Source organism: Homo sapiens, chromosome 1 (genome assembly GCF_000001405.40).
Source record: "Homo sapiens chromosome 1, GRCh38.p14 Primary Assembly".
NCBI classification, from domain to species: Eukaryota; Metazoa; Chordata; class Mammalia; order Primates; family Hominidae; genus Homo; species Homo sapiens.
Genome location: NC_000001.11, coordinates 202,167,002 through 202,193,404, shown reverse-complemented (window position 1 = coordinate 202,193,404; position 26,403 = coordinate 202,167,002). Strand labels below are relative to the sequence as shown.

The 26,403-nt window shown below is 55.6% G+C and overlaps 1 pseudogene across 1 annotated transcript, besides 7 other annotated features; it reads right to left on the bottom strand.

The window, feature by feature from the left end:
- Nucleotides 217-1,020: an enhancer, noted in NCBI's record as "H3K27ac-H3K4me1 hESC enhancer chr1:202161513-202162316 (GRCh37/hg19 assembly coordinates)". NCBI's record gives its function as "activates a minimal SCP1, AML or CMV promoter by ChIP-STARR-seq in naive H9 embryonic stem cells {active_cell/tissue: H9 hESC(naive)}" and the evidence as "EXISTENCE:reporter gene assay evidence [ECO:0000049][PMID:30033119]".
- Nucleotides 473-522: an enhancer, noted in NCBI's record as "active region_2331". NCBI's record gives its function as "activates an Ori minimal core promoter by ATAC-STARR-seq in GM12878 lymphoblastoid cells {active_cell/tissue: GM12878}" and the evidence as "EXISTENCE:reporter gene assay evidence [ECO:0000049][PMID:35858748]".
- On the bottom strand, nucleotides 3,956-25,354 carry PTPRVP (protein tyrosine phosphatase receptor type V, pseudogene; annotated as a pseudogene). The gene is made up of 22 exons (NR_002930.2): nucleotides 24,894-25,354; nucleotides 24,735-24,783; nucleotides 23,823-24,091; nucleotides 23,361-23,624; nucleotides 21,966-22,220; nucleotides 21,619-21,864; nucleotides 16,072-16,356; nucleotides 15,467-15,885; nucleotides 13,016-13,294; nucleotides 11,621-11,747; nucleotides 11,469-11,516; nucleotides 10,184-10,277; nucleotides 9,931-10,021; nucleotides 9,746-9,838; nucleotides 8,626-8,723; nucleotides 6,976-7,144; nucleotides 6,714-6,872; nucleotides 6,266-6,402; nucleotides 6,049-6,136; nucleotides 5,864-5,942; nucleotides 4,413-4,578; nucleotides 3,956-4,174 (listed from the first exon to the last, which is right to left on the bottom strand). The product of NR_002930.2 is annotated as a protein tyrosine phosphatase receptor type V, pseudogene (transcript).
- Nucleotides 4,347-4,396: a silencer, noted in NCBI's record as "silent region_1700". NCBI's record gives its function as "represses an Ori minimal core promoter by ATAC-STARR-seq in GM12878 lymphoblastoid cells {active_cell/tissue: GM12878}" and the evidence as "EXISTENCE:reporter gene assay evidence [ECO:0000049][PMID:35858748]".
- Nucleotides 7,667-8,196: an enhancer, noted in NCBI's record as "H3K4me1 hESC enhancer chr1:202154337-202154866 (GRCh37/hg19 assembly coordinates)". NCBI's record gives its function as "activates a minimal SCP1, AML or CMV promoter by ChIP-STARR-seq in naive H9 embryonic stem cells {active_cell/tissue: H9 hESC(naive)}" and the evidence as "EXISTENCE:reporter gene assay evidence [ECO:0000049][PMID:30033119]".
- Nucleotides 8,197-8,726: an enhancer, noted in NCBI's record as "H3K4me1 hESC enhancer chr1:202153807-202154336 (GRCh37/hg19 assembly coordinates)". NCBI's record gives its function as "activates a minimal SCP1, AML or CMV promoter by ChIP-STARR-seq in naive H9 embryonic stem cells {active_cell/tissue: H9 hESC(naive)}" and the evidence as "EXISTENCE:reporter gene assay evidence [ECO:0000049][PMID:30033119]".
- Nucleotides 8,315-8,364: an enhancer, noted in NCBI's record as "active region_2330". NCBI's record gives its function as "activates an Ori minimal core promoter by ATAC-STARR-seq in GM12878 lymphoblastoid cells {active_cell/tissue: GM12878}" and the evidence as "EXISTENCE:reporter gene assay evidence [ECO:0000049][PMID:35858748]".
- Nucleotides 9,421-9,920: an enhancer, noted in NCBI's record as "H3K4me1 hESC enhancer chr1:202152613-202153112 (GRCh37/hg19 assembly coordinates)". NCBI's record gives its function as "activates a minimal SCP1, AML or CMV promoter by ChIP-STARR-seq in naive H9 embryonic stem cells {active_cell/tissue: H9 hESC(naive)}" and the evidence as "EXISTENCE:reporter gene assay evidence [ECO:0000049][PMID:30033119]".
- Nucleotides 25,355-26,403: the final 1,049 nt, after the last annotated feature.

Genomic DNA, 26,403 nt, shown 5'->3' with positions numbered 1-26,403 from the left:
ATTTGTTCAAGGTGACACAGCTGATGGGACATCCCCAGAGCTGGAACTCGTCCACCCTCCCTGGCCTGTCTGCTAGGACAGGAGAGAGGGGAGTGAGGGGCTACCCTGGAAGAGGCCAGGCTGCGGAGGGTTCCACTGCAGGCTGGGATGACCCGACGGTGGGCAACCAGGAGCAGTCTCCTCACTGAGAGGCCGGGCCTTGACTCCAAAGAAACGGGTGTGGAGTTACACCCGCTGAGTGCACCCTGGGTGGAAATGCACTCCTGCAGCCTCTGTCAGGTTTACGGCCTGGGGACCACCTTGATCCCTGCTCCCAGGACCTCGGGAGTCTGAGGGACTGTGGGCAGCTCAGCTGGTTGTCAGAGCCCACCTCAAAGTAAGCGGATTGGTGCCACCTGGAGGCCGGGTGCTGCACCTGCAGCTCAGCCACCCTGAGGCTGGAATCCCACCAAGTGGCTGACCTGGGCCGGCCCCAGAGCCCTGGAGAGCAAAGGGCATGGTGGTTAAAACTGAGGTCAATCCCTGTTCTCTCCTTAGACCATAGTGAGCTGGCTGTGCTTCCTTCATGCAGCCTCTTGCTCTCTCTGGTCTCTCCCATGCTGAGCCAAGCCCCCGCGCAGAGCTAGAGCAGGCTGTGGGCCCCCCTCCTTCCTTTTTTTGCCCTATCTCCCCATGGTCCAGCCAGAGGGTATACTAGAAACCTGGGACCTCAGAGGCATCCAGGATTTCTTCCACCCTGTCTTTCCACATGCCAGGATCCTCTCATCAACACCTCTCCACTCTCCCAATAACCTCCCAGGGCTAGAGGGGCTGCATAGCTGGACCAAGAAATGAGCAGACCTTGACCCTAGGCCTCCAGTTGGTGCCATGGCGCTGAAAGTAGAAGACGAGCCTCCGCTCTCGCTCTCCCTCTCCCTCTCCCCTCTTTCCACGGTCTCCCTCTGATGCCGAGCCGAAGCTGGACTGTACTGCTGCCATCTCGGCTCACTGCAACCTCCCTGCCTGATTCTCCTGCCTCAGCCTGCCGAGTGCCTGCAATTGCAGGCGCATGCCGCCACGCCTGACTGGTTTTCGTATTTTTTGGGTGGAGACGGGGTTTCGCTGTGTTGGCCAGGCTGGTCTCCAGCTCCTAACTGCGAGTGATCCGCCAGCCTCGGCCTCCCGAGGTGCCGGGATTGCAGACGGAGTCTCCTTCACTCAGTGCTCAATGGTGCCCAGGCTGGAGTGCAGTGGCGTGATCTCGGCTCGCTACAACATCCACCTCCCAGCAGCCTGCCTTGGCCTCCCAAAGTGCCGAGATTGCAGCCTCTGCCCGGCCGCCACCCCGTCTGGGAAGTGAGGAGCGTCTCTGCCTGGCCGCCCATCGTCTGGGATGTGAGGAGCCCCTCTGCCTGGCTGCCCAGTCTGGAAAGTGAGGAGCGTCTCTGCCCAGCCGCCATCCCATCTAGGAAGTGAGGAGCACCTCTTCCCGGCCGCCATCCCATCTAGGAAGTGAGGAGCGTCTCTGCCCGGCTGCCCATCGTCTGAGATGTGGGGAGCGCCTCTGCCCTGTCGCCCCGTCCGGGATGTGAAGAGCGTCTCTCCCCGGCCGCCCCGTCTGAGAAGTGAGGAGACCCTCTGCCTGGCAACCGCCCTGTCTGAGAAGTGAGGAGCCCCTCCGCCCAGCAGCCGCCCCGTCTGAGAAGTGAGGAGCCCCTCCGCCCGGCAGCCACCCCGTCTGGGAAGTGAGGAGCGTCTCCGCCCGGCAGCCACCCCGTCCGGGAGGGAGATGGGGGGGTCAGCTCCCCGCCTGGCCAGCCGCCCCGTCCGGAAGGGAGGTGGGGGAATCAGCCCCCCGCCCGGCCAGCCGCTCGGGAGGTGAGGGGCGCCTCTGCCCGGCCGCCCCTACTGGGAAGTGAGGAGCCCCTCTGCCCGGCCAGCCGCCCCATCCGGGAGGGAGGTGGGGGGGTCAGCCCCCCGCCTGGCCAGCCGCCCCGTCCGGGAGGTGAGGGGCGCCTCTGCCCGGCCGCCCCTACTGGAAAGTGAGGAGCCCCTCTGCCCGGCCAGCCGCCCCGTCCGGGAGGTGTGCCCAACAGCTCATTGAGAACGGGCCAGGATGACAATGGCGGCTATGTGGAATAGAAAGGCGGGAAAGGTGGGGAAAAGATTGAGAAATCGGATGGTTGCCGTGTCTGTGTAGAAAGAGGTAGACATGGGAGACTTTTCATTTTGTTCTGTACTAAGAAAAATTCTTCTGCCTTGGGATCCTGTTGATCTGTGACCTTACCCCCAACCCTGTGCTCTCTGAAACATGTGCTGTGTCCACTCAGGGTTAAATGGATTAAGGGCGGTGCAAGATGTGCTTTGTTAAACAGAGGCTTGAAGGCAGCATGCTCGTTAAGAGTCATCACCACTCCCTAATCTCAAGTACCCAGGGACACAAACACTGCGGAAGGCCGCAGGGTCCTCTGCCTAGGAAAACCAGAGACCTTTGTTCACTTGTTTATCTGCTGACCTTCCCTCCACTATTGTCCTGTGACCCTGCCAAATCCCCCTCTGCGAGAAACACCCAAGAATGATCAATTAAAAAAAAATAATAAATAAATAAATAAATAAAAGAAGACGAGCCTCCTAGGAAGGCCAGAGGATGGGCCTACATGACCAGAAAGACCCACAGATAGAGCCACCTCTGCCCTATGGAAGAAAGCTACCGCAGGCCAGCCTGCACTTCCTTCACTCAACCATAGCCTCGGCTCCATCTCATTTGCAGCTCCTGCTGCTCCAATGTGAGATCTTCCCAGAGTGGAAAAGCCATGGTTGAGCCCTGTTTCAACCTCAGCAGCAGCTGCTTGAGACAGACTTGGGCAGCTCAGAGCAGAGCCTCCAGCCTGCTTTTATGAGGGTCATTAGGGGGCCCACCCTCAGCTCCTGATAAACATGGCATATGGAGGACACTGACATTTAGTCCTCCTGGGAGGGCACCAGTGCTTTAGTCTCATTCTGGGAAAGCTCCCGGCTGAGCAGCCAGCACGACCTCTGTACCCTTCTTCAACCAGCCCTGAGAAGGACCCTCCACTGACTTCTGACCCGTTGCACCTTAGTAGGAACTCAGGTTGGCCAAAGAGCTCTCCCCTCTTCCCCTTGGGGAGACCCAACTCCACTTCAGGGACTCTTGCTCTGATCTGTCCAGGTTTTCTCTGTGTCCTCCCAGGGCCTTCCACCAGGGGCAGTTAAGGTCCAGCATCAGGCACTGCACCTGGAAACTCCCAGCCTGACCAGGGAGGGAGGCAGGAGCTCATGTGGCCACCAGCAATCACGCACATGGTATGCAGTGCAGTCCTAGAGTGTGTGGGACAGACAGCTGCCTCCCCGCCCTCTTTTCTGGTCTCTGCTGCTCCTCCTGGTTTTTCCTTTCTCCATATGCCCTCCCTGCTTTCTCCTCCACCTCCTCCTATGTGGAGGGGAGGAAGGAGGAGAGAGCAAAGGAGCAGGGAAAACTTGGCACCTCCGCCTGAGGGGTGCCTCCAGCGCCTGCCTTCTGAGTAACAGGGTAGCTCTGGCACCTCCATCCTGGTGGGGGCTGAGGGTGGCCCCTGGGGGCTCTGGCAGGTAGAGAAGGCTGGGGATGGCAGGAGAAGGGAAGTGGGAAACAGGATAAACCCTACTGCATACAGCGTGGTGCGTACAGGGTGGTGGGGCAGAGGACGAACAATTTGGAGCTGTGATTCTGAATCCAGGGCTTAGCACCACAGGAAACTAGACGTGGAGAGACCAAAGTCTGAGGATATTTAGAAACTGAAGGATTAGCAGGGAGAGGATTGCTTCAGGGGAAAAACCAACACCATAGGGGCCATAGGTCACCTAGTTCAACCAGACTCCAGGTCCTAGCTTCCATCCCGGCTCCACGTTTGCCCACAAGACCCACACACGGGGCCCAGGTCTGAGGACGGACAGACAGAACACACTGAGCTTCACGCTTGGCCACAGGTCTTTATTCCAAGACCCTTTACCTTTGCAGCACAGGGCCCAGTGGAGGCCGCCCTTCTGGGGAGCCCAGGCCCACGTGGATGTGTCAGGAATGCTGTCCCCATCCCACAGGGCACAAACCTCTCCTGCACAGTGACCAGTGCCGACTCAGGGGCAGCCCGTCTGCCAGTGCGCTGTTCAGACAATTGTAGAGGTAGATATACTGCTTCTGGAGATGGACATAGGGTTAGGAGGCTCGCCCCGCCTGCCCCAATCTAACAGAAAAGGGCTCCCTTGTGTGTCCCAACCCCTAGGGCTCCATCTGGGAGAATGCACAGAGGTCCACAGCGCCACCTGGTGGCTACCCGGGTGGTGCTGCCTAGAGGCCTGGGCAGAAGCTCCCTCACCTCCCACCCCTTCCCACAGCTGAGCCCCCACGCCCCCACCCCAGCCCCATCGCCTCTCACCAGCGTTGGGGTCATAAGGTCACAGGCCTGAGACTGCTGCAGGGCCACGTTAAAGACATCCACGGTGCACTCAGACCCTGCCTGCTGCAGCAGCTGCTCCATGGCCAGGAAGGTGCCCAGCTGGGTCGCACCCTTGCTGCAACTGACCTAGAGTTGGATGAGGTACCTAAAGGGGGTGTGGCAGGGGTGTCCGGGGATGTGGCGGGGGTGTCCGGGGATCTGCAAAAATCCAACCTGGGTGCAGGGACTGAGAAGGGACACCGAACACTTGGTCAGCCAGCCAGCCAGCCTGGGCCCAGGGAGGGAGGCGGTAAATTCCCACCATATTCCTGAGGACAGGGTAGGGTGTGGGGAAGACAGGGGCATTGTGAGACTGTGTCCTTTTGGCCCATAACCCAAGCAGGGCCCAGGGAGATCTGAGGCTATGCCAGAGGGGCAGGGAGGGGCTTCCAGTGTCCACTCCCCCAAGACCATTGTCCAGCAACACCTGGAGTGGCTGAGCAGTGTGCCCGGCTTCTTGCTGTTGCCCCGAGAGCAGCACTGGCCCACAGCAGCCAGGAAGGGCAGCAGGGTGGTGGCGGGCAGCTCATGCCCAGGCTCCAGGTATGGAAACTGCAGTCTCTGCACCTCCCTTTCCTTCCTACTCTCCCCCTCGGGCAAAGACATGATCGGCATTGGTGCTGGAGAGGGCAGAGGGAGCCCACACAGGACTCTTCTCCCACACACCACCCCATGCCCTGTGGCCCCAACACCTACATGTGTGACCCTGAAGAGGGCACAGAGCCAGCCCACTGTGCTGCTCTCGGCCACCCAGTGCACTGTCACCATGTCTGTGACTATGGGCTGCATCTCCATTGGCCAGAATTCCTGTGGCTGGGACCAAGTTAGGGCTGCTCAGGCAACTTCCTGAGATCTCTGCCCCTGCCCTGGTTAGACAGCACCACAAACTACCCGCCTCCAACCTCAGCCCTAACTCCTGAGCCTCCCTTCCTCTGTCCTCTGCACTCTCACCTTCTCCATGGCATCGAGTGGGCACAGAGAGACAAGCACATGAGCCCCGTGCTGCCACACCAGCTCCCAGAGCTCCTCTGGCCCTGCGAGGCCAGTCAGCACCATATGATCACAGCCAGAGGGCCCACCCTGCAGAGCACAGCTCATTGGCTTCCAGAGACTGAGGGTGTCCCCTGCCCAGCCCACAACTCTGGGAGCCCCCAGCAGCCCCAGCCCGGGAAGTACAGGTGGTCAGAGAGGGCAGGAAACAGTGGCAAAACCAGCATCATCTCACAGGGAAGAGCCAGGCTTCAGGCATGTCGTCAGGGGTGCTCTCCTACACTGGAGAAAACTGCCCCTGAGAACAGTCATCTGAGGGAAGACAGTGAGGGTGAAGCTGCCAGAGGCCCCCAGCCCATGCTGGCCCCCTGCCCCTCCACAGGGTCCACAGTGAGACTCACAGGAGATGGGGCTGTCCTGCTCATAGCCAGGCAGGGGTGCGTAAGAGCCAGCCTCGTCCTTGATGGCCTGCAGCAAGAGCTGGGAAGGAGATGGGTACCCTGAGGCTGGGAGGTCCCACTGCAGGGCTGGCTCAGCAGGGGAAGGCTGCCCTTGGCTGTCACCCACTTCCTGGCCTGAAGTGTACCTCGTACTCCTTCAAGAAGCCAGCGTTGGCATTGGCTGCCCTCTTGGCACACGCCTGTGCGAAGTTCATCACAGAGATGGGCCAAGACCTGGTGGGGGGGTTGGAGAGGGAGAAGGCACTCAAGGTTCCCCAGCTCCCTGTTCTAGTCTGCTCGGCTCTGCCCATGAACAGGAGCAGGGAGCCTGCCTGTGGGAGGCACAGGGAAGCTGGGACTTACTCAGAGATGTTGAAGGGCCCTTCCAGAATCTTGTTCAGTAGGCAGCTGTGCAGGAAGACGTACTGGCTCTGCCAGGGGGAAGGGCATCAGGCTGCTCAGCGAGGAGCGAGGAGCGAGGAGCGAGGAGCGAGGGGGGCCTGCAGGGAGATTTTCCAGGCCCTGACCAGCAAGGCAGGGATCGGGTAGGAGGGGAGAGGGAGCCACTGAGAAACCTTCCCTCCACCGCTCTATGGTGTCAAAGCTGACAGGGTCCTGTCCCACCTCCCCTTTCACAGAATAGGGAGCACAGCCCAGATAGGATGGTGTTGTGTTTGAAACCCTCTCCCCAGGGTCTTCTGTATGCCCCATGAGCTCTCTTTCCTGGTCCCTCTTGTAGCCCTGTGGCCACCCACCTCCCTCCCACTCCTTCAGGGTCCCAGCTGCCCAGCCCAGCCTGCGAGGCCCTCACCAGGGTCTGGATCATGAGGGGCCCGTGCATCCAGAATGCAAACACAGCATGGAACACATCTACCATCTGCTCCTCCTCCAGCTGCTGCAGCAGCCTCAACAGGGCCACGAAGGTGCCCGTCTGGCCCATGCCCACACTGCGGGGACAGCCCCTGAGGAACTGAATGGGTGAAGAGGCTGCCCATGTCCCCAGCTCTCCCCACAGTCCGAGAGCCCCCGACACCTCCAGGCCAGGCAGGGGGCTCTCCACCCTATGCACTCACCTGCCCTCCTGCAGTGCACCAGGATGGGTCCCATGCCCTGGGTGGCCCTTGCCTGTTCCTGTACCAGCTCCATAAAGGTAAGCAGGGAGCTGGGGGCCTTGAGGATGCTGTGGTCAGGTCAGGTGGTGAATTGCAGTTACTCCACCCTCCGCTGCTGTTGCTGGACAACCTGAGAAGGGGGTGGGAAGGGGGCAAGGGGGCAAGGGGGCAAGGGGGCAAGGGGGCAGAGGGGCCCTGCTGCTGCTCCTTATCTTCCTAACTCTAGGCTCCCATGGCCCAGACCTCACACTTTCTTCCCCAGCTGCCTAAGGGCAGGGATGATGCAGACCAACTGTTCCTTGAGCGTGGCAGCTATGTCTCTCTCATCAGGATGCTTCCTGAGCCCTCGGGTCCTTCTCTAGCCTCCTGGGTAATCTCTGCATATAGAGTGCCCAAGCAGAGGAGTGATTCGGGTCCCTTGCTTTCCTGTCCCAGGAGTGCACAACCTGGGAAGGCAGTTGGGCACAGGGGGCATGGGGTGAGGCAGGAGCCCGGAGCTGGCATGGGGGAGGTCAGGAACCATCATGTCTCTCGTGCTCTTCCTTTCCCTCACTGTGCAGCCTCAGATAAGCCCTTAACCTTCTCTGTACCTCCCTACCCCTTCCCTAACACACACTTCCCTGGGTGGTGGCTGAGTACTTGTGGTCCTCCGAAAGAGAGGGCTCCAGGGACCCAGGAAGTGAGGCAACCTTCTCAGGGGTCTCAGCTCTAATGCCTGTCCCACCCCCTCATCCTTGGGGCACGCATGTGCTGCAGCTGGAATTCCCGCTTGGTCCACTCATCGTCAGCCTCCTCGGCTAGGAGGTGGATGGTGATGTGATCATGGGTGACCGGGGTAGAGTCGGTCAGCCAGTAATGCTCACACAGCACCTGGGACCAGAAGGTTGGAGAGGGGAAGGGTGGCTGTGAGCCCAGCCCTATCACTGCTGCCCCCTGCTTTACCCAGTCCCACCCCTCCCTGCCCACCTTTCTGGTCCCTGACACCCTGCTGGGATTCTGCTCTCTGTAATGACCCAGCTCCAAGGCTCCCTCCTCCAGGAGCTGCTCTCCCTTGCCTGGGCTCCGGCACCCTTGCCCTCAGACCTCTCATGACCCTCAGGATTCTGAGTCAGCCACCAGCTTGCTGTGCCAAACAGAACAGCCCTTATTCCGCGGCCAGCAGCCCTGGGCTCACTGCTCCAGCAAGAGGACAGACTCGGCAGCCTCTCTGCGTGTCCCAGGGCCCTGCATCTGCCAGGCTTATCGAAAGGAAGGATCCATGATGGTACCTTTGACACCGGCCCTGGGCAGTCCCTACCCCTTGGTGCCTTCTCTGCCCAGGGCAAGAAGCCCGTAGAAACTAAGCCAAGCTGGAGCTTACATACCTGGTTCCTCCCACTGCCTCCCCATCCCAGGGACCACCCCATCCTGGGTCTGGGTGGGAGGTGGTTCCACCACCCTCCAGGCCTGATTGGCCTCACTCCAGTCTGCCCCGCCTTCCCTGCGGGAAGATGCCAACGGGGCCATTCCCACAAGGAGAACGTGCGCCACCTGGTGGCCTTTCCAGGAGCCTGTAAGGCGCATCACCCTCCTGTTCTCCATGCCGACGGTCAGCATGATGATGATGCGGACCTGCTACTCCCGCACCAGCCGCCAGAAGTTCTCCAGCGTTTTCTTGAGAGGCGCCTGAGAGGCAATGAATTCCTGTGGGTGGGTGGGTGGGTGTAGCCCTGGGGTGTAGGGGGCAGAGGTCAGGAACATGTTAATGGGCGATGTTTGGTGTCAAACACACAGCAGATTTCCAATATTTGACCTCCAGGAGTGAGGATGCTGTGCACACACCTACATGTGTGCAAACACACGAACACGTGTACACCCAGAATGCAAACCAGGAGGGCTGACTTCAGAGACACCACCCCCGTCCCTGTCCCACCCCAAAGGGACAAGAAAAACCCCGATGAAAACAACAAGCTACTGACATGAGTTAAATAGCCCACCTAGACCACCCTCTTCACCCACCCAGAGTCACCTTCCTAAAACCAAACTGTGTTTCTTCCATGCTCAAAAATCTTCTGTGGCTCCCCATTGCCCACCAAATAGAGTCCAAAGTCCTCAGCCTAACAATCAACCCCTCCTTCATTCAGCCCCAGGCTATCTTTCCCATTACATCTCCCACCACCCAGCACCTCCCCACTCCCTCACCCCTACGCACCCCCCACCACACACACACACACACACACACACACACACACACACACACACACACACACTGCCTGAACGTTACTGCTTGGCTGTTCTCTGGCTGCTCCTTCCAGTCAATAGAATGTCCTTCCCTCTTTCATCACTTATCAAAATGTTACTCATCCTTCAATAAACCAAATGTCCCCTCTGGGAAGCCTTTCTTAATTCCTCAGGTGGATGAAATTTCTCCTTCCTCCATGTGCCCTGAGTACAGTGTTTTTTCCTCTATTACAGCCCTTGTCACAGTGTGTGGTGAATGTCACACACATGCCCACATGCTCCTTTGAAGGTGGGGAATGTGGCTAACTCAGCTCTGCCTCCTGCAGGCCCAGCACAGAGCCCAGCACACAGTAGACCCTTGCTAGACACCTGCTGGATTGAGCTCATGAAGCCCAAGCTGGTGATCTCCTAGAGAGCTGTTACAGCTAACAAAGGCCAGTGTGGCCTGCAAACCAGCCCATCTCCCGAGCAGATCCCAGATCCCATGGACAGCCTCACTGGTGGCCCTTACTGGGATGAAGTTGGCATTGATGTAGTCAGAATGAGGCTCTCCCTCCAGCTGGGTCAGCCTGACCCTGGAGTGGTCGTCTGCAGAGAGTGAAAGCTGTGCATTCAGGGCTGGGCACATGAAACCCCCTGCCCCCATGCCAAGCCCTAGCCCTCTGCCATGCCTCCTCTCCTGCCCCCAGCACTCACAGGGAAGCACATGTGGGTAATGGTTCTTGGTGGTGTTGGCAGCGTACTCAGCCTCCAGTCTGGGCTGCTCCTTGCCCACCTCCTTCAGCTCCTGCAGGGATCAAGGGCAGGCACTGGTTGCTGAAGTAGACCCATCTCACCCCATGCCAGGTGAGGGGCAGTGGGGGCAAGTGTGCAACTGGGAGTTCCCTCCAGACCTTCAGACAGGTCCCAGTCTTCCCTCCTCTGAGCCCAAGGGTGGTAAAGGCCTTACCTCGAATTGCAAAAAGAAAGCCTGGTGTGCGTGAGCACTCTTGGCCTCATAGCTCTGCCTGAAGCTGTGGATAGGGATGGGCCGGTGGGTCTACCTGGTGGGAGGTGGAGAGGGTAGCCCCCACAGCCTTAGGTTTGCAGAGTCCTGCCCTGCCCTCCCCTGGGTGACGGGTACAAAGCAGGGGACCTCAGAGTCCTGGCAGCACAACCTGATCACCTGGGGGCCTGTTGGAAACGCAGATCCTGAATTCCACCCTGGGTGTGGAGCAGCGTGCATTTCCAGCAAGCTCCTCCAACGCCCAGCCTGGGCTGCAAACCACCAATGTGGAAGAACAGAGAAGGGACAGGGGACATGTACGCATGTGCACACACACGCGTGAGTCTCACAGTCTCCCTCCCTAGGTCCTGAGGAGGGCTCCTGTGCACAGCCAGTGCTCAGTTAATGTCAGCCCCACAGGAGGTTGACATGAGGAAAAGAGCTATGGCCTGATACCGTCTACGAGGTTGGTCAGGGAGAAGGTGGGAACTGGAGAAGGTGGGAACTGGAGAAGGTGGGAACTGGAGAAGGCATGCATGATGGTTAATATGGTGTCAACTGGGTTGAGTCACAGTGCCCAGAAAGTTGGTCAAACATTATTCTGGATGTTTCCATGAAGGTGTTTTTTGTATGAGATTAACATTTAAAGTGGTTCACTGAGTAAACTCTAATGTGGCTGGGCCTCATTTAATCAGTCGAAGGCTTTCATAGAACAAAGACTGACCTTCTCTGAGCAAGAAGGAATCCTATTAGCAGGCTGCCTCCAGACGCTTCCCAGAGCCTTTGGCCTGCTGGTCTACCCCAGATTCCTGGACTCACCAAGCCTCCACAATCACATGAGCCAATTCCTCAACATCTGTCTCTTCCCCCTCTCTCCCTTTCCTCTCCTCTCATCTCCCCCACCTTCCTGTCCTCTCTTTCCCTGCTCTCCTTCCTCCTCTCTCCCTGCTCTCCTCTCTCCTCTCTCCACATACACCCTGTTTGTTCTGTTTCTCTGGAAAGCCCTGACTTATGTATGAGTGCATTTGGAGGAGGAAGAGGCCACATGGGCAGAGAGGAGTGGGGAGCGAGAGGTCCAGGCATTGAAAAGGCATTTGGGGAGGTGTGGTGGCTGAGGAAGAATGGGGGTCTGGCAGAGCCTTGCAACCCCCTGACTGGGACACAGTCACAGCAGAATGGGGGCCAGAGGAGCTTCAGCAATGCCACCATGGCCCCCACAAGGCAGGGAGGTGCAGGAAAATGCACTCACCGCAGGTTGTAAGCTGTCAGCTCTTGGGAAAATGGATTCTTCCCTGCCCTGCAAAGGGTGAGGGGGCACGTGGGAGGCAGCCCCAGGGGCAGGGAGCTGGCCCACTCTGGTCATGAAGTTCTCCCCAGCCCCCAGCCTTCCCTCCCACTCACCTCTGCCCCTTCACCCGCCTCCAGCACAGCAGGCCCAGCACAGCACAGATGGTGAGGACACAGCCCACCACGAGGCCCTCCATTACCGGCAGGGGCACTGATGCCAGGGAGACACCGGCCCAGGGCTCTGTGGAGAGAAGGGAAGAGTGGAACACAGCAGCCTTGTCCCACAAACCCTGCGAGGTCATGCCAAGCTCTGCTAGACCTGGGACCCTCTGGGTGAAGGGTACAGTGACAAACCCCATCTACACTAGTAGTCCCAGATATCAAACTGAGGCCAGAGATGGCTGCCTGGGGGGAACATCTGGATGGGAACTGGGAACACCCAGCAACCCCTCCCTGCACCCAGCTCCTCAGGATGCCCCAAAGACCCCACCTCCCTTCCCTGACACCATCAAAAGAAAAGAAAGAGGGCAGAGGCCTGGTTTCCTGGACTTTCTAGAACCGCACTGTCCTATACGGCAGCTACCGAACATTTGAAATGTGGCAATTCCAACTTATGATTTGCTGTAAGTGTAAAATACACACCAGATTTCAAAGACATAGTAAGAAAGAAAAGAATGTAAAATATCTCATTAGAAGTGTTTTTGGCCAGCTGCAGTTTCTCACACCTGTAATGCCAACACTTTGAGAGGCCAAGGCAGGTGAATCACTTGAGGTCAGGAATTCAAGACCAGCCTGGCCAACACGGTGAAACCCTGTCTCTACTAAAAAATACAAAAATTAGCCTGTAATTCCAGCTACTCAGGAGGCTGAGGCAGGAGAATCACTTGAACCTGGGAGGCAGAGGTTGCAGTGAACCGAGATCATGCCACTGCATTCCAGCCTGGGCAACAGAGAAAGACTCTGTCTCAAAAAAATAAAAACATTAAAAAAAAGTGTTTTTAATGGGTCACCTGTTGATATTTTAGATATTTTGGTTTAAATAAAAAGTCACTAAAATTAATTTCACCTGTTTCTTTTGACCTTTTCAATGTAGTTTTTAAAAGACATTTTAAATTACTTATGTGGCTTGCCTTACATTTCTATTGGTCAGAGCTGTTCTAGAGCCCGGATGGCCTGGGAGCATCCGGGTATAGAGGGGCAGCGTGAGTGTGGACAGCAGCAGACCACCGCAATGCCTCAGACTCTCCTGCCTGCACTCTCAGTTCGCCCAGGCCGAGTCTGGTGCCAAGAGCACCTTCGTCGCTGGCTCTGGGTCTCCCCACTCTGCTCGGCAGGACTTGTTATCCCAGTAGTCTAAGCTCAGTCCCTCCTGCTACTGGTTGGTGATGAGCCACACAAGAGGGTTCCCAGCTCTCCTCCCCATCTCCAGGGCCCAGCTGGAGCCCTTGCCCAGTGCCCACCCTACCCGAGAAGGCTGAGAAGGAGTTAATGGTCTCAGGAGGGCTGTACCTGGTAAAGGCTGCAACGCTGAACCTGGGCAGAGAAACAGGACCTTTTGTTGGGGAAGGGCAGGCAAATAAGGTGAAGTCCCTCCCAGCAATCTGGGTCGCGAGCAATAGACACTCAGATAGCAAGCGCTCCCTGGCAGGGGTGTCCGGGGGAGAGAAGAGGCAGTCATGGGTTCTTAGTTTCCATTTCTGGTTGGGCCAGTAAAGCCCCTTCCTCATCCCTCGTCTGCTTATTACTAGAGACAGAAGCTAAAAAGCACAGCCACAGGTTGCTAAAAGCCTAAAACAAAACAGAACAGAACCATAACAAAATAAGGCAGGCTGGGCAAGCTTGGCAGAGGTTACGTGTCATGCTATCTGCCATCTCACAGCAAGCCCCATCTTCTGTGCCTGACAGTAAGAGGAAGCTCTAGAAATAGGTACCTGAGCCTGGCACAGTGGCTCACCCCTGTAATCCCAGCACTTTGAGAAGCCGAGGCAGGCGGATCACCTGAGGTCAGGAGTTGGAGACCAGCCTGGCCAACATGGTGAAACCCTGTCTCTATTAAAAATACAAAAATTAGCTGGGCATGTTGACCTGTGTCTGTGGTCTCAGCTAGTCGGGAGGCCGAGGCAGGAGAATCGCTTGAACCTGAGAGGCAGAGGTTGCAGTGAGCCGAGATCAGCCACTGCGCTCCAGCCTGGGTGACAGAATAAGACTGCCTCAAAAACAAAAAAAAGAAAAGGAAAGGAGAATAAAAAAAGAAAAAGAAAAAAATAAGTACCTGGATATCCTGGGAACTGCCCTGGCAAGCTGAAACAACACACTCCACTTTCCTTTTTGAAAAAAGAACCGTGTAACAGATGGGTGTTCAGGTTTTTGCCTTGTCTGCCAGGAAGCTCAGTCAAAATGACTTAATGGACCATCACATGCATTCTGTTTATAAGTCAGTCCAGATCTCTTGTTTCTTTACGAACCACAAATGAAACTTGTAAGTTTCATCACTCCCTTCAGCCTTAGTGCTCGCCTATACTGGGAACCTAGCTTGAGCTGCCCGTTGCATATCTCTTTGGTGTGGCCACAGTCCTCTGTACCCACAGGCACTGTCCAGGATCTCGGCACAGCCCAGGGATCCGGGTAGAAGGGGTTGGGGAGCAGGATGGCCAGGTAGGAGTCATGTCCTCTGTAGTAGTGGTCATGCCACATGTGGTTGATGGCTTCCCAGGAAGGCTGAGGCACTGAGAGGAGTGGGGAACGGGAAGAGCAGGGTGGGCAGTGGGGCCGAGGCCTCTCTTCCTGCCACAGAGGGGCTACCCTATCTCTCTATCGTGTACCCACCATTCATATTAGCACTCTCCTCCAGAACGTTCTGGTCCCCCTTTCTGCTCCGAGACTGACACCAGCCTCACATATTTCATCTTACCAGTCTCAGTCCCCATCTTAACCCCCATCATCACCTACTCCATGCCACGGCTAGGGTCTCCCCATCCCCTCCTAGGCCCAGGACTCATGTGACATGTTGGTGGTGGCAATGATGCCGTACCACTGGATCTGCCCATCATCCTTGCCAAACATACCCCGCGGGATCATCACTCCCATTTCTGTCCCAGGCTCCAGCTCAGGGGCCGGGGCTAACGCTGGGGGATGCCAGGCTGGGGATGGAGAGGAGAGTGAGGACCTGACTGGGTGCCTAGCAACCCATCTTCAAGGGCAGGGACCATGCCTTCATAGCCCCAGTGCCTGGGGCTAACGAACCAAGGCTGGGTGCAGTGGCTCACGCCTGTAATCCCAACACTTTGGGCTAATGGATATAATTAAATAAGGACTAGAAGGTTCCTGGGCTAGGGTACCAGGACACAAGGCTCAAAACTATGGTATCAAACTAGCAAGATCAGGGCCAGAGGAAAGGGCTGGGCCCTGGGGAACAGAGAAAAACCCAGGCAGCCAGGACTAGAGGAGTGACATCCCCAGGAAGACACGGAACTGAGGGGGCCTCAGAGGCAGCAGAAGCTGCCTACCCTCGGCAGATGTGGAACATGCCAGAGTGACCACCCGACTCCACAGACCGTTCCTGCCCAGCACAGCGAGGCTGAGGTGATAGGAAGTGACAGGCACCAGGTTGGGCAACAGGACTGCATTTTTGGAGGTGTCGGCCTGGAACACAAGGTGAGCATTCCCTCCTGCCACCAGCTGCTCTGCCACCACCAGACAGGTGCCCACATCCCTGGCGGGCACTGTCCAGTTCAGGGCCAGGAAGGTGGCCTCAGGCTGGCACTGCACATCTTCCACAGGGCCAGGCTCTGTGGGAATCAAAAGGCTCTGCATTGGGTGGGGGTCAGTGCACCCCCATGAGCAGGGCTTCTGGGTGAAGGGCTCTCGAAATCCGCAGGCATAGAGGGACTGGACATTTATGCCCATGGAAAGGGATATCAGCCAGGCGGAAAAACATCTCCTTTGGACATGACTGCCCACCTGGAGAAGCGTAAGGGGCATAACCCCGAGCAGAGTGGGTGCAGCATCCATCTGGAGAGAGCAGTGGCTCAGAGTCGAGCGGGCAGTGCTGCCCACCTGAATCAGACCTGCATCTCAGGGCACCTTCGTCCTCCCCGCCGCTGACGTCAGCATACCAACAAGCAGTACCACGCGCTGAGTGGACGCCTGCAGCGGCCCTGCCTGGCACAGCACTGACAGGGAGAGGTTGCATCCAGGTGTGAGGCCCCTCAGGATGAGGTGGGCTTGGCCTGGCACCAGAGGGTGCTCCCAGGAGAGGTGCCCCGCCTCTGAGAGTTGGGTGTAGCACATCCCCTGCCCCAAGGGGCTGCTGGCCCAGGCCAGGTTGACCACAGCGGTGCTCGCATGCATGGACACCAACTCACTGGGTGTGTGCAGGGCTACAGAAGGAGGGAAGGAGGGAGGAAGAACAATCAGCCAGGCCGCCAGCCCCAGTCCTCAGAGCCCCATGCTTGATGCCAGGGCCTGCTGACCCCTGCAGGGCCCTGGGGTGTGGAGATGGAAAATGGGCTAAAGGGGGCACCACTGAGGGAAGACCCGGGGCTCTCTGAGGCAGCCTTGCTCACCTCTCCTGCATCGCTGCCTTCCCCATGCCTCATGGGTCCAGCCAGAGGTGTTGGCTGCTGCAATGTGGTGGGGCCCAGCCTGCGTGACAACCTCCACCTTGTACTTCGTGCCTGGAGTCAGACTTGAAAAGCTTGTGCTGGCCACCTTGGCTCCGACGGCGCTGGTGCCTGCCCGGTACAGGGTCACCGGGTAGCTGTCTCGGCCCCTGGGGGCATGGACCCAGGATGCCCAGAGCTGGGTGGGACCTTCACTCGTCACATTTACCAGAGGAGGGGCAAGCGGGCCTGCGAGGAGAGCAAGATGTGGAGGGTGTGGAGAAAAGGGAGAAACGATCTACACTAAATCTCTGGCTCCCCCCTCTCCAAAAGAACCCCAATTTCTCCCTCCATCCTTGGCCCTATCAAGAAACACCCAGGAGCTAGAGACACCATTTCAGGGCATCCTGTGAGCCCAGGATTCCACTGGAAAGCAGGGCCTGCCACTGACCCCAGGCAGCAGAGTCCAGGCTAAGCCTGAGTTGAACAGATGAACTAATCACTTACTCTCGCCACATCCCACCCCTCTCAAGGCAGAGCTAGGCTGGGCAGCATGAGTGTTAAACTGTGTCCCTTCTCCCAGCCCCTGCACAAAGGAGCTTTTAAAGACCCTTATGGCCGGGTGCGGTGGCTCATGCCTGTAATCCCAGCACTTTGGGAGGCCGAGGCGGGTGGATCACCTGAGGTCAGGAGTTCAAGACCAGCCTGGCCAATATGGTGAAACCCTGTCTCTACTGAAAATACAAAAATTAGCTGGGCATGGTGGTGGGCACCTGTAATCCCAATTACTCAGGAGGCTGAGGCAGAAGAATTGCTTGAACCCGGAGGCAGAGGTTGCAGTGAGCCAAGATCGCGCCACTGCACTCCAGCCTGGGCAACAGAGTGACACTCCAGCTCAAAAAAAAAAAAAAAAAAAAAAGACCCTTATGTGCAGCCACGTGTGGTGGCTCATGCCTGTAATCCGAGCACTTTGGGAGGCTGAGGTGGGTGGATCACTTGAGGTCAGGAGTTCGAGACCAGCCTGGCCAACATGGCGAAACCCCAACTCTACTAAAAATACAAAAATTAGCCGCACGTGGTGGCAGGTGCCTGTAATTCTAGTTACTCCAGAGGCTGAGGCAGGAAAATGACTTGAACCTGGGAGGCAGAGGTTGCAGTGAGTTAAGATCATGCCACTGCACTCCAGCCTGGGAGACAGAGGGAGACTCTGTCTCAAAAAAAAAAAAAAAAAAAAAAAGGCCCTTATGTGGATGGACAGGCAGGTATCTGGGGGCCCAGGCAGCACCCCTCCACCCTCAGAGCTTGAACTCACTTGAACTCAGGAGCCACATGAGCCTGGCCCAAAAGTCAACACTTCTTTATAAATGGGGACACTGAGGCTCAAAGAGGGCCAAGGTTTGCTCTAGGGGCTGAGCCCCAGCTAGAACCCAGGTCTCCTGACTTCCAGGGTGACCTCCTTCCAGCTCCCTCCCAGCCTGTACTCCAGGCAAGATCCAGACAACAGTGACAGGGGCAGGAGGAGGCTGGGAGGGGAGGCCCAGGGTAGGGGTAGAAGGAGCCACCACATTGGAGAGGGATGCGCTCAGGGTGGGGAGGCCCATCTATCCCTCAGCTCCACCAAGGGCTCCGCAGGCAGAAAGAGCAGGAAGACTCAGGCCTCATGAGAGGGGCTTCCCAAACCAACTCTACAGGCCCCCAGGGCTTCCGGGTAGGAGAAAACCTCACTGTGTGTCCTGCACTTGAGTAAAGGCAAGGAGCATGGAGCTGGTCACACTGCCTGCTTCAATCCCAACTCCCCACTGTGCTGAGGAACCTGGCGCAAGTTATTTTCTGTCTCTCTGCCTCAGTCTCCTCATCTGTGAAACAGAGAAAACCATAGTAACTACGTCCTAGGCTTGGTGTTATGAGACTTAATGAGAGCACACAGGTAGAAGACCTGGCTGAGTGCCCAGTAAACGCTAGCTATTGCTGTTATGATTTTTTTTTCTTTGAGAGGGGGTCTCACTCTGTCACCCAGGCTGGAGTGCAATGGTGCAATCTCAGCTCTGCAACCTCTACCTCAAGCTAATTTTTGTATTTTTAGTAGAGATGGGGTTTCACCATGTTGGCCAGGCTAGTCTCAAACTCCTGATCTCAAGTGATCCACCCGCCTCTGCCTTCCAAAGTGCTGGGATTACAGGCGTGAGCCACTGCGCCCAGCCTTGCTATTGTTATGATTAACCACTTGTGGCCCACTACCACCCACCTCCCTACTGCCAGCCATGAGAGAGCATGAGGAATATCATGCCCAGTGCCGCCGTACAAGTGAGCAAACGCCTTCTAAGAAGGATCTGCCCACCTTCTAGAAGGCCTAAAGGGCCAGGGCCCTGGGGGAGTCCCAGTGAGGGGAGTGGGGTTACCTAGTGCCTAGGGACCGAGGGAACAACCCTAAGCTGATACATGCCCCACCATCAGCCCAGCTGCCTGCCTGAAGACCACAGAGGCCAAGGGGACATGCAGCCCCCTGGGAATCCAAGGAGCAAGGTAGGGGAGGGCCATCAGAAGGCACTCATGTGTCCAGCCTGTGGCGTTGGTGCTGCTGCTCTGATCCAGCCCCCGCAGGGTGGTCAGCTGCACCAGGAACTCAGTGCCCGGTGACAGCTAGGCCCAGGAGAAGTTCTGGACCTCTGCGGCCAGAGTGTCCGCCCTTTCCAGAGTCAGAGGCCTCAGGCTATAAAGCTGCACCTGGAAGCCATCCCTCCCCCACTGGTGGGGGACTCCAGGAAGCCTTCAGGGCAGGAGGCTGGGTGGCAAGGTTCAGGCTCAAGTTGGCAGGAGGAGCAGGGACTGGGGGAAGGACAAGGAAGAAACAGATGTGGAGTCACCTGAATTCCCTGCCTCTCCTCCCCATGAGCTACACCCATCTCCTCAGTCTCCAGGCAAGCTCCCAGCCCTCCCCACCTAAAACCCCCACTTCCACAGGGCTCAAAGGCCACCCTCCTTTCCTTCCCAGGAAACCCTCTTAAACAGATGCTTGCCCAGACACCTGCTGCCCCGCTTCCTCCCTGACTGTCCGCCCCTTGAGGGCATGGCGCCAACCCTGTCACACCTCTTAGGGCCCCGGTCTCCAGCTCACCTGCTGACGTTCAGTTCCCGTCCAGTCTGTCTCTGGCCTGAGGACCTTGGTGCACACTTAGCCTCCTGCTAAGGTCCTCTCCACCCATCCTCCCCAGCCCCAGCAGATGACCCTGGGCAGGACCCCACCCTGCCCCCCACCAGCCTGCTCTCACTCAGCTCACTCTTCTCCGGGAAACCTCCTCTGACTTTTTAAGCAGGTGTCCCTTCTGTGAGTCCTAGAAGATTAGACTGAACCACATAAAATTCCTGAGATTCAGCCATTTTAACCAATAGGAATGGAGTTTCATATGGTTCAAGCTAATACATTATGCACATTCCAATTAGTGCATTAACAGGTATTATGATATATAAAATCATATATACACACACACACACACACACACACACACATATGCCATCTGTTTACTTGTCTTCCTGAGGCACTGAGGACTATTCATCATTTTTGGCCTCAGCAACTGGTTTCATGCCAAGAAAATGGGAGTCATTCATTAAATAATTGTGGGATGGATGGATGGATGGTGGATGGATAGATGGATGGATGGACAGTGGATAGATGGTGGGTATATAGCTAACCAGATGGAAGGAGGTAGAAATTGCTTGCAAATAGATTCATGAAAGGCCTCATCTTGTACTCATGGCCTTCTGAGTCAAGAATATGGCACACAAGGCCGGGCACGATGGCTCACGCCTGTAATCCCAGCACTTTGGGAGGCTGAAGTGGGCAGATCATGAGGTCAGGAATTCGAGACCAGCTTGGCCAACATGGTGAAACCCCATCTCTACTAAAAATACAAAAATTAGCCATGTGTGGTAGCAGGCACCTGTAACCCCAGCTACTCGGGAGGCTGAGGCAGGAGAATTGCTTGAACCTTGGAGGCGGAGGTTGCAATGAGCTGAGATCATGCCACTGCACTCCAGCCTGGGTGATAGAGCAACTCCGTCTTGGAAAAAAAAAAAAAAAAAAAAAAAAAAATATATATATATATATATATATATGGCACACAGTCCAGCCACAGTGGCTCATGCCTGTAATCCCAGCACTTTGGGAGGCCGAGGTGAACAGACTGTTTGAGGTCAGAAGTTCAAGATCAGCCTAGCCAACATGGTGAAACCCCATCTCTACTAAAAAAATAAAATAAAAATACAAAAATTAGCCAGGCAAGGTGGCAGGCGCCTGTAATTCCAGCTACTCGGGAGGCTGAGGCAAGAGAATCACTTGAACCCAGGGGTTAAAGGTTGCAGTGTGCCAAGATCCCACCACTGCACTCCAGCCTGGGTGACACAGCGAGATTCCATCTCAAAATATATATATATGTTTATATATCTATAATTATATATAATATTATATATAATATATAATATATATAATATATAATTATATTATATAAATTATATATAATTATATATTATATATAATTATATATAATTATATATTATATATAATTATATATTATATATAATTATATTATATAAATTATATATAATATATAATTATATATAATTATATTATATAAATTATATATAATTATATATTATATATAATTATATTATATAAATTATATATAATTATATATTATATATAATTATATTATATAAATATATATAATTATATATTATATATTATATTATATAAATTATATATAATTATATATTATATATTATATTATATAATTATATATAATTATATATTATATATTATATTATATAAATTATATATAATTATATATTATATATAATATATATTATATATAATATATAATTATAGATATATAATTATATTATATATAATATATAATTATAGATATAATTATATTATATATAATATATAATTATATATAATATATAATTATAGATATATAAACATATATATATATGGCACACAGAAGTGCAGAGTAGAGGATGCCAGTCCCCCAGCCCACCACCTGGGGCTGGCCTCTCACAGGCTGCAGCCAGGAACTCACAAGTACAGGGGTGGATCTTCTGGATGCTAGAGCCAAGGTTCTCTGCCCAGGCCCACACTGACATGGCATAGGAGGAGCCGGGCACCAGACTCCTCAGAGTCAGGCTGGAATTGTCCGGGCCCAAGTCAACAAGACTGCCCGGTGACCTCTGGCTGCCCTCCTGGTGCCAAGCGACCCTGTAGCCTTCCCGCTGTCCTGGTGCTGGGGCCCAGACAATGGCCAGGTCAGAGGGGCCACCCCTGCTGATAACCTCCAGGGACTGTGGTGCCAGGGGACCTGAAGAGAAGGGCAGTTTGGTGAGGGGTCCATACACTGCCTGCAGCCCTTTGGTGCCCCCTGCCCAGCTCTTCTGAGTCTCTCTCCTGCTCTGACCTCCCTCCCCTGGCAAGGCCTTCCAGCTGCAGGGCCAGGGAACACAGTGGCTGGCACTCACTTTTGTGGCCCATGAGGCTGTAAGTGATGATTCCCAGAGATGAGGCAATGTCCACACAGTAGCGGGCCCCAGGCACTGGCCCATAGAAGGTGATGTGGGTGGCACCAGGTGGCACAGAGATGTTTCCAAGGAGGCCCGGGTTTCCCTCTGTGTAGAGCAGGGCCCGTCTCCCGGGCTCCTTGGAGGCCTCCAGCCCATCCAGCTGCCGCTTGGCACCACTGCCTTGTCTGGACTTGGCTGCGGAATCTGGAGGCGAGACAGGCCCCAGAGAGTGAGACCTCACCTGCCTCTGGATGCAGATGCCCCTGGGCAGGATACTGCCCTGCTCCCTACCAGCGGGGACTCACCGTCCAGCCAGGCACTGGCCTGGGCCCAGGCGTCATATGGCCCCGCTAGGACCTTCAGCTCCAGAGCATAGTGCCCAGTGGGCAGGGGCCCTGGGAATGTGACATTGTGGGCCTCAGGGCCTAGAGTGATATTCTTCTCCACTGGCCCACTTAACTTCAGCAGGAAGTCATCCTGCACACCTGGCCCTACCTTCCAGCTTGCCCAGAGCTTGGCGGGCAGGGGAGTCAAACCAGGTCGAGGGGGGGCAGAGGTATCTGTGGAGAAAATAAAGAAATATGTGCAGGAAGACCTAAACAGCGGAGGGGAGAAATCCCACTGGTTCTGTGCCGGCTTCATTCCCTATGCACTGGGCCACGCCTTGTCCCAGTGTTAGCGGCCACCACTTGCCACATTCTGGATGAACACCGGCATCTGGCTGCTACCATCTGGCCACGGACAATAACAGAAATAAACACATCAAGTGATTAAATGTGCACCTGCCAGCATGGTTCTGAATACCACATGTGGAAACTAACACAGAAAGAGGGTAAGCACTTGTCCAGAGATGCATAGCCACTGGGTGGCAGAAACAAAACTCAGAACACGGCAGTCTGGTTTGTCTGCCCTCAACCACTGCACAATGGGGCTTCTCTAAGTAAAAAGTCAGTGAAGCCATGGCAAAGCCTACATGGGCTCTGCAGGCATCCAACCCAGGTTCAGGTCAGCTCACCCACGCACAGGCTACGCAGGAAAGGTTGGGTTTCCTCTCTCTGAACCTCAGCTCCCTCCGCCATAAAATGGGGATAATATGACTTACATAGGGCTGTTCTGAGGATTCAATGAAACAATACACAGAAGGTGCTTAGCACAGGCCGGGTGCAGTGCTGCACGCCTGCAATCCCAGCACTTTGGGAGGCCGAGGCGGGCAGATCACGAGGTCAAGAGATCGAGACCATCCTGGCCAACATGGTGAAACCCCGTCTCTACTAAAAATACAAAAATTAGCTGGGTGTGGTGGTGCGTGCCTGTAATCCCAGCTACTCGGGAGGCTGAGGCAGGAGAATCACTTGAACCCAGGAGGTGGAGGTTGCAGTGAGCCGAGATCATGCCACTGCACTCCAGCCTGGCAACAGAGTGAGACTTTGTCTCAAAAAACAGAAACAAAAACAAAACAAAACAAAACAAAACCAGAGTCCAGCTTAGCACAGAGTCCAGCACACAGAAGGGTTCAATTGATAACTACTGTCACCACCATCATCCCCTCAGATAGGTACCCACCACCAGCCAACTGGAGGCACACTCCCTCTGAGCCTCCAAAGACACCCCCCCGCCCCGCCAGTTGTATCCTGGCTACTTGACCCACGGAGAAGAGATGGGAAGTCTCAGCTGTGTCTCCTTTACCCCCAGGCACTCACAGGTCCACTCTGTGGCATTGGGCCCCACTGCCCGATGGGGCCTGGCAGCAGCACTGAGCGTCAGCTCATAGGGGGGGCCCTGAGACAGGTGAAGGGAGGTGTGATGGGAGACTCCCCGTCTGAATACTGCAGTCAGATTGGTGCCACCTAGGAGGTCTGTGAGCACCAAGTGGAGCCAGGCAGCCCCCTTGGAGCCGTTCCAGGAGGCTTGCAAGGCACTGGTGCCCAGGGTATGCAGTACCAGGTGATCTGGAGACACAGGGGCTGGAGGAAGGATGGAGAGAAAATGTCAGGCTCAAGAAAGGCCCCTGGAGCAGGATGCTGGCAGGGACCCTGGCACTAGGGAGCACAGAAGCCCAGGCACATTGGAACATGGCTGGCTATGAGGCTCTGGACTTTCCACCATTCCCACCACTCCCAGATTGGCTGCCACCCGGGGCCTTGCCCAAGTGCCCACCTTACCTGTCCACTGATGGAGGCTGGTTGTTGCTTGGAGGTTGCCAGCCCAGGTGTTAACTTCCAAAATATACTCAATACCTGGCAAGAGGTTGCCAAAATTGTAGGACAGGGTGCCCAGGGGCATGGAGATATTATGTGCCAATGTCTGGGATTCTAGGTGGTAGAGGAGAAGGCAGTAGCCATCCTGCTTCCCGGGGGCATCACCCCATGAGGCCTCCAGGCTGGATGGGCTCCCAGAATGTGGAGCTGCAGTCCATGGACAGTTGACGGGGCTGCATCAGCGGAAGACAGAGACACCAAGGTCAGTGCCACAGGGGCATCACCGCTCTGCCTGTAGTGCTCCTAAATAGGTCACTGTACTAGACATGATCTACAGAGAAGTTGCGCTCCCTGCCAGCACTCCAGGGCAGCCACCTCCTGCCCCAACCCCAGGCAACAACCCCGCCCCTTCAGCCTGCAGCCCTCATACAGTGCGAGCAGTGAGGGTGATGGTGACATTCTGCCCACAGGGTCGCAGGGCAGTCACTTCCAGCTGGTAGCGACCCCCTGACACCAGATCTTGGAACTTAAAGCTGGATGCATTGGTGTGGGCCTGGAGCTGCTGCCCTTCAGGAGAGCTGAGGGGGCTCAGACATGTGAGGCGGAGGGCATGGGTGAACCTGCCTGGCCCCGGGGCTGCCCAGCTCAGAAAGAGGCTAGTAGGTCTCCCCTGGCTGGTGATGTTCACGTTCAGGGGTGGGCCTGGGGAAAAGGAGGTGCTTTCAGAACCCACTAACAGCCTTTCTGCCTTAAAGAAGAATGGAAGGCCAAAAAAAAGAAAAAGCCAGGGTAGAGCCAGGGTCTGGTGTGGAAAAATTGGCCTCACACCCCCGACTCTTCACCCCCAGAACTCCCTCCCCCGCTGAAGACACCTACCTGCACTCTCCCTGCCTGGACTCCCTTCCAGGGAGAGGCATGCTTCCTCCTGCAGGAAGAAAGGAGGCAGAGAGTTGGGGAAATGGACAGAGGCCTCTGGGAAGGCTACTGGTGGAAGGTGGAAGGGGATTGTGACTCTCAGGCTGCAGACAAGCCCACCTCTTCCTGATGCTGTAGCAGGACGAGCCGCAGACAAAACTCCTCAGACACCAGATTAAAGAAGGAAGAGGCCGGGTGCGGTGGCTCACGCCTGTAATCCCAGCACTTTGGGTGGTGGGGCAGGGCCAGGATCCAAGAGAAGGCTCTGTTGCCGTGTCTGACAGCCCCACACATGGCCAAGGGGCATCTCCCGGAAGCATGCCCATGGCGCATCTGTTCTCCAGGCAGGCTGGAGCAATCTGTTCTCGCTCGCTGCGCCACGTGCTGGCCCTGGTGGAAAGGGAGTGGCCTCTCCTCGCCTAATGCAGACCAGCTGTGGGGTCCCGAGGAGCGCTGGGAGATCTGGATGTGCCCTGGAGAGCGGGGACCCCACCCGCTGGCCTGCTCCCCCATGCCCACCTTACCTCTGCCAGAAAACCCCGGAACCAGAGCAGGGCAGCGAACAGGATTGGGAGCCTCATCCTGATAGCTGCAGAGTAAAGTTGGGAGGCAGCAAGGGGAGGAGCCAGTCCCCTAGCCCACCTTGCCTTGCTTGCTGGCAGGCAAGGAAGGCGGGCATGGGTGGGAAGGGCAGAGTTTCAAGCACAAGCAGGCAGCAGGCAGCAGGCAGCAAAAGCAAGGGGCTGCCTCTTAGCCCCAGAGCCTGACCCCCGCTCTCTCCAGCCTTGGCAAGGCTCTTGAAGGGAGAGAGGCGGAGGCTGGCTCCAGGCCCAGAAGGTGGAAAGGGATTGTGACTCTCAGGCTGCAGACAAGCCCACCTCTTCCTGATGCTGTAGCAGGACGAGCCACAGACAAAACTCCTCAGACACCAGATTAAAGAAGGAAGAGGCCGGGCACAGTGGCTCACGCCTGTAATCCCAGCACTTTGGGAGCCCGAGGCGGGCGGGTCACGAGGTCAGGAGACCGAGACCATCCTGGCTATTATGGTGAAACCCCGTCTCTACTAAAAATACAAAAATTAGCCAGGCATGGTGGTAGGTGCCTGTAATCCCAGCTACTAGGGAGGCTGAGGCAGGAGAATGGCGTGAACCCGGGAGGCGGAGCTTGCAGTGAGCCGAGATCGTGCCACCGCACTCCAGCCTGGGTGATAGAGTGAGACTCTGTCTCAAAACAAAAAAAAAAGAAAGAAGAGGTTTATTCAGCCGGGAGCGTCAGCCGACTTGCGTCTTAAGAGCCGAGCTCCCTGAAAAAGAAATTCTTGGCCTTTTTAAAGGCTTACAACTCTAAGGGGTCCACGTGAAAGGGTCGTGATAAATTGAGCAAGCGTGGGGAACGTGACTGGGGGCTACATGTATCAGCTAACGGAACAGAAAGTTTTGCAGTGCTTTTTCATACAATGTCTGGAATTCACAGATAACACAAGTAGTTTAGGTCAGGGGTTGATATTATTATTATTACTTTTTTAACTCCTAGGGCCGGGTGGTGGTGCTAAGGTTGTCTGGCTACTTAACTTCTGTTTCTTTCCAACTTTTTGCTTTCTCTCTTTCCTCCTGTCTTGTGAACTAGGCAA